At 44.2% G+C, this 12200-nt stretch overlaps 1 annotated feature.

The window, feature by feature from the left end:
• Positions 9917-10105: a silencer, noted in NCBI's record as "fragment chr11:107753920-107754108 (GRCh37/hg19 assembly coordinates)". NCBI's record gives its function as "represses an EF-1alpha promoter that drives an FKBP-Casp9 reporter gene in an ReSE screen in K562 erythroleukemia cells {active_cell/tissue: K562}" and the evidence as "EXISTENCE:reporter gene assay evidence [ECO:0000049][PMID:32094911]".

A 12200-nucleotide genomic window follows, 5' to 3' on the forward strand; every position in this document is an offset into this window, starting at 1 on the left:
TCTACATTATTTGGGCTTATGTTGCTTTTTCCCTAACTCCTTAAACTGCGTTCTAAACTCATTAATTTTGAGTTGCCTCTCACGAGTTTTGATAATGGCTTTACTATCATTCACTTCTACGTATTTTCCAGTTTCCATTATAACTTCTTCTTTGACTCGTGAGTTGGAAAGACACATCCCTTAATTTCCAAGCATAATAAGAGTTTTTAACTTTTTTTTTTTTTTGAGACGGAGTCTCGTTCTGTCGCCAGGCTGGAGTGCAGTGGCGCGATCTCGGCTCACTGCAACCTCTGCCGCCCAGGTTCAAGTGATTCTCCCTCCTCAGCCTCCTGAGTAGCTGGGACTATAGGCATAAGCCACCACACTTGGTTAATTTTTGTATTTTTAGTAGAGAGGGGGTTTCGCCATATTGGCCAGGCTGGTCTTGAACTCCTGACCTCAGGTGATCCACATGCCGTAGCCTCCCAAAGTGTTAGAATTACAGGCGTGGGCCACTGCACCTGGCCAAGTTTTTAATTATTTTCTATAGTTGATTTCTAACTTAATTGTATGATAATGTAGGCTATATGATACTTTTTTTTTTTTTAGAGATAGGGTCTCACTCTGTCACCCAGGCTGGAGTGCAGTGGTATAGTCATAACTCACTGCAGCCTCAAACTCATGGGCTCACAGGATGTTTCTGCCTCAGATTCTGGAGTAGCTGGGACTACAAGCGAGCACCACCACACCTGGCTAATTTTTAAATTTTTTGTAGAGACTGGTTTTCTCCATGTCGCCCAGGCTGGTCTAGAACTCCTGGCCTCCCAAATCATTGGGATTACAAGTGTGAGCCACCATACCTGACCTGACCTGATACTTTCAATATTTTGAAAATAGCGAGATAAGTTTTAAGACCTAGTACATGGTCAATTTTGATAAATGTTTTTCATGTGTGTGTAAAATAATTTTTTTTGTTTGTTTTTTGTTTTCTTTCTTTTTTTTTTTTTTTTTGAGACAGAGTTTTGCTCTTGTTGCCCATGTTGGAGTGCAATGGCGCCATCTCGGCTCACTGCAACCTCTGCCTCCCACGTTCAAGCGATTCTCCTGCCTCAGCCTGCTGAGTAGCTGGGATTACATGCACCACCACACCCGGCTAATTTTGTATTTTTAGAAGAGATGGGGTTTCTCCACGTTGGTCAGGCTGGTCTCAAACTCCCAATCTCAGGTGATCCGCCTGCCTCGGCCTCCCAAAGTGCTGGGATTATAGGCGTGAGCCACCACGCCTGGCAGAATGTTTATTCTCAATGTGTTTTTTGTTTGTTTGGTTGGTTGGTTGTTTTTTTTGTTTTTGTTTTTGTTTTTGTTTTTTTGAGATGGAGCCTCACTCTGTCGCCCAGGCTGGAGTGCAGTGGTATGATTTCAGCTCACTGCAGCCTCCCTCTCCCAGGTTCAAGCGATTCTCCTGCCTTAGCCTCCCGAGTACCTGGAATTACAGGCACCCGCCACACACCTGGCTCATTTTTGTATTTTTACTAGAGATGGGGTTTCACCATGTTGGCCGGGCTGTTCTCAAACTCCTGACCTCAAGTGATCCATTGGCCTTTGCCTCCCAAAGTGTTGGGATTACAGGCATGAGCCACCGTGCCCAGCCCTCAGTGTTTTAACATGTCCATTTGAACAAATATTCAGTCTCCTACTGATTTTTTTTGTCTATTTGATCTATCAATTTCTGAAATATTTGTTAAACCAGTGGTTCTCAAAGCATAGGCCTGAATCAGAAACATCAGCAGCACCTGAGAACTAGGTGCTTCTCTCAGGTGCTTGTAAGAAGTGGAAATTCTCAGTCCCCACCCTAGACCTATTGAATCAGAAGCTCTGGAGTTGGGCCCAGCAATCTGTTTTAAGAAGCCCATCATGGGATCGTGAGACAGACGAAAATTTGAGAACCAACCTATTCTTCCATTATAGGAAGAAATAGAAACTTAGTTTCTCATTATAAAATTGTCAATATTTACTTCATATGTTTTAAATTTTTATTATTAGGTACAGAGTAGTTTTTGTTACACATCTCTGTTGAGTATTTTATTATTATGACATGACACTCTTTATCTGCCCTAATACTTTTTGTGTGAAAGTCTATTTTTTCTGATGCTAATACAGCTTTTCCAACTTCATTTTAGTTGGTATTGGCCTGGCATATTTTTTTCTATTCATTGCTTTTCAATATTTCTGTATAATAATGATATTTATATATATATATATCTTGAAACAGCACATAGCTGGATTTTATTTTGTTTTGTTTTTTGTTTTTGAGACGGAGTTTTGCTCTTGTTGCCCAGGCTGGAGTGCAATGGCAATCTCGGCTCACTGCAACCTCTGCCTCCCGGGTTCAAGTGATTCTCCTGCTTCAGCCTCCCAAGTAGCTGGGATTACAGGTGCATGCCGCCGTACCCGGCTAATTTTGTATTTTTAGTAGAGGCAGGGTTTCACCATGTTGGCCAGGCTGGTCTCGAACTCCTGACCTCAGGTGATCCACCCACCTTGGCCTCCCAAAGTGCTGGGATTACAGGCGTGAGCTACCACGCCCAGCTTTGTTTTGTTTTTAGGCTCTTTGCCTTTTCTTTTTTTTTTTTCTTTTTGTTACTTGAACTGCTAAATCTACTTTAATCTTTGCCTTTTCATTGGACAGTTTAGTCTATTTACACATAGGATGATTACTGACATATTTTGATTTATTTATACCAAATTACTATGTGGTTTGCAACTTGTCTTAATGTTTCTGTCTCTCTCTGTCTTGCCTTCTTTTGAACTGGCTGAGTTTTTTCTCCTGTTTGGAAGTTTTGTTACCTATGCCTATTCTTTCATAGTAGTCATAGCTATTCTAACATGCAAACTTAGTGAAGTCTAAAATTAATCAAAAGTTTTATCCTCTTCCCAAACAATGCAAGAACCTTAGAATACTTTATAACTCTCCCAGCTTATATGCTGTTGTTATCTAGTAATTTAGTTCTAGCTTGCTTCTTCTCAACCGCAAAGTACAGACTTGTGGAAGCTAAATCAACTTCATATGCTAATCCATGTTGATTTATGATTAACTCCAGTTCTGAGAATGCCTCTTAAGATTTATAGTTTCACATACTTACTGTATGTCCTGCCCTTCGGCAAATTCCCTATTATTGAATATAAGCCCTGGGTCTTGGGGGTAACTGCAAGGATCCACCAATTTGCAGTTGCATGAGACAAAGCTTCTGTTAGTAAGTCCTATTAAATATTGCTTTATGAGAAACTGGATTTGTCAGCCTCTTTCTATGGTCTCTCAGCTCCCTCGGCCTTTGGGGTAGGTTTTCATATGCCTGCCCACCACAGAATAGTATTATTGTTGTTTCACATAATTAATGATTATATAACAGTCATTCAACAGTACAGTACCTAGGGCCAGATTTGTGGATGTATGACTTATGTAGTCACAAAGGGCCCCATGCTTGGTGTCTTAGTCTGTTTGTGCTGCTATAACAAAATACTCGATAGTTCATAAAGAAGATACGCGGCGGCTCAGGCATGTAATCCCTGCATTTTGGGAGGCTGAGAATCACTTGAAGTCAGGAGTTTAAGACCAGCCTGGCCAACATGGTGAAACCCTGTCTCTACTAAAAATACAAAAAATTAGCTGGGTGTGATGGTGTGCACCTGTAATCCCAGCTACTTGGGAGGCTGAGGCACGAGAATTGCTTGAACCTGGGAGGCAGAAGTTGCAGTGAGCCGAGATCAAGTCATTGCACTCCAGCCTGGGCAACAGGGCAAGACTGTCTCAAAAAAGAAAGAAAGAAAGAAAATAAATTAATTTTCTCATAGTTCTGGAACCTGAGAAGCCCAAGATCAAGGCACCAGCAGGTTCAGTTGTTTGGAAAGGGCTGCTCTCTGCTTCCTGGATGGGACCTTATTGCTGTATCTTGTGGAGAGGGGGATCCCTGTGTCCTCACAGGGTGGAAGGCAGAAAGGCAAGCCAACCTGAACCTATGTGAATCTCTCTTAAAAGACTTAATCCCATTTCAAAGGGTAGGAGCCCTCATGACCTAATTACCTCTTAAAGGCACCACCTCTTACTATCATTACACTGGCCATTAAGTTTCAACACTTGAATTTTGGTGGGGACACATTTAAACCACAGCACTGGCTCTCACGCTCTGCTGTTGTCATCAGGTTTTTTTGTTTTTTGTTTTTTGTTTTTGAGACGGAGTCTCGCTCTGTCACCCAGGCTGGAGTGCAATGGTGCACTTTTTCGGCTCACTGCAACTTCTGCCTCCCTGGCTCAAACGATTCTCCTGCCTCAGCCTCCTGAGTAGCTGGGATTACAGGTGCACGCCATCACACCTAGCTAATTTTTGTATTTTTAGTAGAGACAAGTTTCACCATGTTGGCCAGGCTGGTCTTGGACTCCTGACCTCAGGTAATCCACCTGCTCTGGTCTCCCAAAGTGCAGCAATTACAGGCAGAGTCACCATGCCTGCTACTGCCATCTTGAAATTTTTAATAATTTTTTTAACAAGGAGCCTCATATTTTCTTTTTTCTTTTTTTTTTTTTTTTGAGACAGAGTCTCATTCTGTTGCCCAGGCTGGAGTGCAGTGGCATGATCTTGGCTTACTGCAACCTCCACCTCCTGGGGTCAACCGATTCTCCTGCCTCAATCTCCCCAGTACCTACAATTACAGGCACCTGCCACCAGGACTGGCTCATTTTTGTATTTTTGTAGAGATGGGGATTTCACCATTTTGGCCAGGCTGGTCTCGAACTCCTGACCTCAGGTGATCTGCCTGCTCTGGCCTCCCAGAGTGCTGGGATTACCGGTGTGAGCCACGGCGCCTGGCCTCGGAGCCTCATATTTTCTTTTATCTTTTTTTTTTTTTTGAGACGGAGTCTCACTCTGTCTCCCAGCTTGGAGTACAGTGGTGCAATATCGGCTCACTGCCAGCTCTGCCTCCCAGGTTCACGCCATTCTCCTGCCTCAGCCTCCTGAGTAGCTGGGACTACAGGCACCCACCACAACACCCAGCTAATTTTTTGTATTTTTAGTAGAGACAGGGTTTCACTGTGTTAGCCAGGATGGTCTGGATCTCCTGACCTCGTGATCTGCCCGTCTCGGCCTCCCAAGGTGCTGTGATTACAGGCGTGAGCCACTGCGCCCAGCCGAGCCTCACATTTTCAATGACTCTGCGCTAGGACCCAAAAATTATGTAGCCTAGGTCTTCCATCAGGATTTTATTTTGTTTCTACTGCAGTTACATCTTTAGAATTCCCTTTACAGGGGGTCTTTTGATGTAAAGTCTATTTTTGTCTGAAAATACCTTTATGGCACCCTCTTTGTTTTTTAAGATACTGTTGATGGATATAAAACTTAAGATTGACTAATATTTTCTGTAACCACTTTGAATATATTTTCCTATCTTCATTTTTGCAATTGAGAAGGCAGCCAACCATCTAATTACCTTTTTCCTGTAGGTGATCTGACTCTTTTCCTGTGACTTTTCACCATCCTTTTTTTTTCTTTATTTTTTTTTTAGGGTTGTGCATTTCACTATGATGTATCTAGATGTGGATTTTTTTGCTTGGGATTTACCTGGCTTTATTGGGCTTCCTAGATCTGAATATTGATATATTATCCATGAATATTTTGATACCTGGATTACAGCTGAATTCTCCCAAAGATAAGTTACTTCTGACTGAGAGAGCTGTCAGGCCTCTGAGCCCAAGCTAAGCCATCATATCCCCTGTGACCTGCACGAATACATCCAGATGGCCTAAAGCAACTGAAGATCCACACAAGAAGTGAAAATAGCCTTAACTGATGACGTTCCATCACTGATTTGTTCCTGCCCCACCCTAACTGATAGGATATATTCTCCCCTGCCCTTAAGAAGGTACTTTGTAATATTCTGTCCCTCTCCCCCCGCCCACCGCCCCCCAACCCCCCCGCCCTTAAGAACTAATAATAATCCCACCACCCTTTGCTGACTCTCTTTTCGGACTCAGCCCGCCTGCACCCAGGTGATTAAAAAGCTTTATTGCTCACACAAAGCCTGTTTGGTGGTCTCTTCACACGGACGCGCATGACAAGAGCTACCAAATAGCACCATTTAAAATTCCCTATTCGAAGGTTTTCTGAGTTTCACAGGTAGCATGAATTAAAACTGCAAAACTCATAAAAGCTAGCTTGTGTTATGAATCCGCAAGAAATAGCTTTCTCTTCTGTCAAGTTCCAAGTTCAAGATATGAAACTGCCTTCGCGAAATTATGACTGAGACAGTGAAAGAGATCTAACTTAACAGACTCCATCTTGCTTCTAACCTCCAAGTTGTCCTGGTACATTCCTGGACGTAGGGCGAACTAACTTTGAAAGAAACTTAGTTTGTAGTTTATAGTTGTTTTTTTTTTTTTTTGTAATGGAATTTCACTCTTGTTGCCCAGGCTGGAGAGCAATGGCGCGACCTCAGCTCACTGCAAACTCCGCCTCCCAGGCTCAAGCAATTCTCCTGCCTCAGCCTTGTAAGTATCTGGGATTACAGGCACCCACCCCGACACCTGGGTAATTTTGTTTTGTTTTGTTTTGTTTTGTTTTAAGGAGTTGAGAGTTTAATAGGCAAGAAGGAAGGGAGAAGACAGAAGGAAGAAGCTCCCCTGTACAGAGACAGGGACGGGGGCTCCAAAGCCGAGAGAGGGAACCCCCACCTGGTTTTTTGTTTTTTAGACGGAGTCTCGCACTGTCACCCAGGCTGGAGTGCAACGTGTGATCTCCGCTCACTGCAACCTCTGCTCCCGGGATCACGTGCTTCTCCTGCCTCAGCCTCCCAAGTAGCTGGGATTACAGGCGCACACCACCACACCCGGCTAATTTTTTGTATTTTTAGTAGAGACAGGGTTTCACTATGTTGGCCAGATTGGTCTTGAACTCCTGACTTCTTGATCCGCCCACGTCAGCCTCCCAAAGTGCTGAGATTATAGGCATGAGCCACTGCGCTAGGCCAATTTTTTGGTATTTTTAGTAGAGTCAGAGTTTCACCATGTTGGCCAGGCAGTCTTGAACTCCTGACCTCAGGTGATCCACCCACTTTGGCCTCCCAAAGTGCTGGGATTACAGGCGTGAGCAACCACACCTGGGCCTATAGTTTATAGTTTAAAACAAAGATGATAACAGCCCTTTCTCATAGCAGACCTCCTTCTTGCCTGGGGACCAGATTGCCTTTGTAGGACTAACATTAGCCACAAGATTAGAAATTATGGTTTAGGAGTCATGCAGCTGGAGGCTACAAAACTCTGACCCTCCCTCAACTACTCCTAAAATCAGTGCTTGAGATGTTTTGCAGACCCTGCACTTGATGGATCAGCTGGCACCACCCAGACTGATAAATGGGCTTTTCTGATCTTGTGGTCCCCACCCAGGAATGGACTCAGTGCAAGAAGACAGCTTTGACTCCCTATGATTTCATCCCTGCCCAGTCAGCACTCCGGGCTCACTGCCTTCCCCTACCCACAAAGTTGTCCTTAAAAACTCTGCTCCATGAGTGCTTGGGGAGACCGATTTGAGTAATAATAAAACTCCAGTCTCCCTCACAACCATCTCTGCATGAATTACTCTTTCTCTATTGCAATTCCCCTGTCTCGATGAATGGGCTCTGTCTAGGCAGCTGGCAAGGTGAACCCCATTGGGCAGTTACAGATAGGCAACTGTCTTTTCTGATGTCTTTTGCACAATGGAATTTATTTTTTCATTTTTCTTTATACTTCAGGTGTAGATCTGGGGAGCTTCAGCTTTATTCAGAATGTTACAGGAAAGGGGTCCCCATCCAGACCCCAAGAGTGGGTTCTTGGATCTCACACAATAAAGAATTCAGGGCAAGTCTGTAAAGTGAAAGCAAGTTAAGAAAGTAAAGGAGTAAAAGAATGATTACTCCACAGACAGAGCAGCTTTGAGGGCTGCTGGTTGCCCTTTTTTATGGCTATTTCTTTCTTTCTTTTTTTTTTTTTTTTTTTGAGACAGAGTCTCACTCTGTCACCAGGGCTGGAGTGCAGTGTCCTGATCTTGGCTCACTGCAACCTCTGCCTCCCTAGTTCAAGCGATTCTCCTGCCTCAGCTTCCCGAATAGCTGAGACTAGAGGCGCCTGCCACCATGCCCAGCTAATTTTTGTATTTTTAGTAGAGACGGGGTTTCACCATGTTGGCCAGGATGGTCTCGATCTCTTGACCTCGTGATCCGCCCACCTCGGCCTCCCAAAGTGTTGGGATTACAGGTGTGAGCCACCAAGCCCGGCCGGCTATTTCTTGATTATATGCTAAACAAGGGGTGGATTATTCATGCCTCCCCTTTTTAGACCATATAGGGTAACTTCCTGCCATGACGTTGCCATGGCATTTGTAAACTGTCATGGCGCTGGTGGGAGTGTAGCACTGAGGACCACCAGAGGTCACTCTTATGGCCATCTTGGTTTTGGTGGGTTTTAGCTGGCTTCTTTACTGCAAGCTGTTTTATCAGCAAGGTCTTTATGACCTGTATCTGGTGCCAACCCCCAATCTCATCCTGCTTAGAATGACTTAACCGTCTAGGAATGCAGCCAGTAGGTTTCAGCCTCATTTTACCTAGCTCCTATTCAAGATGGAGTTGCTCTGGTCCAAAAGCCTCTGACAAGAAGGCTGATTTCTAGATTTCTCACCTAAGCATGTCCCAGACTTTAACTTCTACAATTAAAGAAGTAGCTCCAAGAGGTCTTCAAAGCAGAAGACTCACATTCTTCAAGATTTAGCAGAAAACTCCAGGGCAAATACTGTCTTTATCATATTACCTCTCAAGGTCTCTGAGTTTTCTTTTGTTTGGAGGCCTCTGCAGAGTTATTGTTACAGTAAGTAATTAGTCAGGTATGAGCAGGGCAGGAGAGGGCCTCTTGCTCTACCAGAAATGTTAGGCAACCATCAGGTGATGGTCAGGCAGTTGTTAACTTTCTCTCTTGGTTGCAGCCAACACCAGGGAAAGGCAGTCTCCCAATATGTAGAAAAACCTGAAGCTGGTGATCAGCAGCTTCCTGATAAGATCTTAGGAGTTGGGCAAGTAGGCTCACACATGCGCACTAAGAGGCAAAATGGTGGAGTTTAACTGGTATATGACCTTATAGGAACACTTGACTGGTAAGGGAAGAATGCCTCAAATGAGCATGCATACAACTCCAGTAAACACACTGCACATGCTCACCTCCCAAGCGCTAGCAGGCCACTGCACATGTGGACAGCCCACTCCAATGGAAGAATCAGGAGAGATGTAATGCAAGACCCTGGAAGCATGCCAACATATAAAACCCCAAGTCAAAAGATCAGATTGTGCACTTGACTCTCTCAAGTCCCTCACTTGGCCCTCTTCCAAGTGTACTTTACTTCCTTTCATTGCTGCCCTAAAACTTTTTAATAAACTTTAATTCCTGCTCTAAAATTTGCCTGGATCTCTCACTCTGCTTTATGCCCATGAGGTGAATTCTTTCTTCTTAAGAGGCAAGAATTGAGGTTGCTGCAGACCTTACGTATTCGCTGTCGGTAACATGCTTTGGTGCTCTGTGACTTGGATATGTTCCGCTGCTAACATTATTACTTTCATATCAGCTCAGTAATGCATTTTAAATTATTTTATGTGCCTTATATTTTATTTAGTTTGAAGGGTCATTCAGGTGTCTAATTGACATTACTGCCTGAAATGGAATTTTGCATTTACTTAATCTATAATATAAAAGTGTTGAGCCATTAAAACAATTTTTTAAATCCAGCAACAGATTTATTTATTTAAAAATATTAGGTCAGGCACAGTGGCTCACGCCTGTAATCCCAGCTCTTTGGGAGTCTGAAGCGGGCAGATCACAAGGTCAGAGTTCAAGACCAGCCTGCCCAACATGGCGAAACCCCGTCTCTATTAAAAATACAAAAATTAGCCAGGTGTGGTGATGGGCACCTGTAATCCCAACTACTCAGGAGGCTGAAGCAGGAGAATTGCTTGAACCCAGGAGGTGGAGGTTGCAGTGAGCTGAGATTGCGCCACTGCACTCCAGCCTGGGTGACAGAGCAAAACTCCATCTCGGGAGGAAAAAGAAAAATTACAATACATATATCTGCCAGAAGACTCACATCTTTTTTTTTTTTTTTTTTCTGAGACAGAGTCTCAGTCTGTTGCCCAGGCTGGAGTGCAGTGGCATGATCTTGGTTTGCTGCAACCTCTGCCTCCCAGATTCCATCGATTCTTCTGCCTCAGCCTCCCAAGTAGCTGGGATTACAGGTATGCACCACCATGCCCGGCTAATTTTTTTTATTAGTATAGTAGAGACAGCGTTTCACCATGTTGGCCAAGCTGATCTCGAACTCCTGACCTCAAGTGATCTGCCTGCCTCGGCCTCCCAAAGCGCTGAGATTATAGGTGTGAGCCACTGTCCCCAGTCAAAAGACTCATATCTGTATACATAAAGAACTCATATAAATCCAAAAGAAAAAGCCCAAAAAAAAGTAGACAAAAAATTTTGTTCATTTTTCTTTATGTTAATTTTTTTCTTTGTAACATTTAATTAATTTATTAATACTATTTTTGGTAGAGACAGGGTCTCTCCAATGTTGCCCAGGCTGGTATCAAACTCCTGGGTCAAGCGATCTTCTAGCTTCAGCCTCCCAAAGTGCTGGCATTATAGGCATGAGCCACCACAACTGGCCAGCAAAATTTTTTTTTTTTTTTAGACGGAGTTTTGCTCTTGTTGCCCAGGCTGGAGTGCAATGGCTTGATCTCAGCTCACTGCAAGCTCCGCCTCCCGGGTTCACGCCATTCTCCTGCCTCAGCCTCCCAAGAAGCTGGGATTACAGGCATGCGCCACCATGCCTGGCTAATTTTGTATTTTTAGTAGAGACAGGGTTTCTCCATGTTGGTCAGGCTGGTCTCGAACTCCTGACCTCAGGTTATCTGCCCACCTCGGCCTCCCAAAGTGCTAGATTACTGGCATGAGCCACCGCACCCAGCCAGCAAAATATTTTTATACGCCGGGCGCAGTGGCTCACGCCTGTAATCCCAGCACTTTGGGAGGCCAAGACGGGCAGATCACGAGGTCAGGAGATCAAGACCATCCTGGCTAACACGGCGAAACCCCGTCTCTACTAAAAATACAAAAAATTAGCTGGGCGTGGTGGCAGGCGCCTATAGTCCCAGCTACTGGGGAGGCTAAGGCAGGAGAATGGCGTGAACCCGGGAGGCGGAGCTTGCAGTGAGCCGAGATCGCACCACTGCACTCCAGCCTGGGGGACAGAGGGAGACTCTGCCTCAAAAAAAAAAAAAAAAAGGAAAAGGAAAAAAAAATATGTATTTTTATAGACCCTTCACAAAATAAGACATCTGTGATATTGTGATATAATGAGAGATACATATTTGGTCTTCATCCCAGTTCCTGGCACAGAACTCCTAAAACCCTTGGAATCTCTGAAGTAAGAGGAGCGTCTTTTGTTATTCATAGCAAGCTCCTTTCAACTAAACCTAAAATAACGCTAATAAGGTGATTCTTGGTGGTTCCCTAGATAGCTATAGGATGGAGGATGGTAGCCAGAGGAATCAACCATGTGTTAGAGAGTTGGAACTTTGGCCCCCACCTCACCTCTGGGAAGGAGGGAAGAGGTGGAGATTGAGTTCAATCACCAATGGCCAATGATGTAATCAATTATGCTACCATAATGAAATTTCCATAAAAACCGGAAACAATGGGGTTTGGAGAGTTTCTGGGTTGATGAACACATTGAGGTGCTGGGAAGATGGGGCACCCGGAGAGGGCATGAAAGCTCTATGCCTCTTCCCCATATCTTGCCCTATGCATTTCTTTTATTTGGCTGCTCCTGAGTTGTGTTCTTTACACTAGATCAGTAAACGTAAGGAAACAGTTTTCCTGAGTTCTGTGGGCTGTTCTAGCAAATTATAGAACCTGAGGAGGGGATCATGGGAACTCCCGATTTATAGCTCGTCATTCAAAAGAAGGGAGGCCCTCAGCTTGCAATTGACATCTGAAGTGATGGCAGCCTTGTGGGACTGAACCCTTAATTTGTTGCATCTGATGCCAACTCAAAGTACATAACATCAGATAGAACCGCACGAAGTCCAGCTGGTATCTGAAGAGCTGGAGAACTGGTTGATGTCAGGGAAAAAAAAAACCCCACACATTTGGTGCCAGG

This window comes from Homo sapiens, chromosome 11 (assembly GCF_000001405.40).
Source record: "Homo sapiens chromosome 11, GRCh38.p14 Primary Assembly".
NCBI classification, from domain to species: Eukaryota; Metazoa; Chordata; class Mammalia; order Primates; family Hominidae; genus Homo; species Homo sapiens.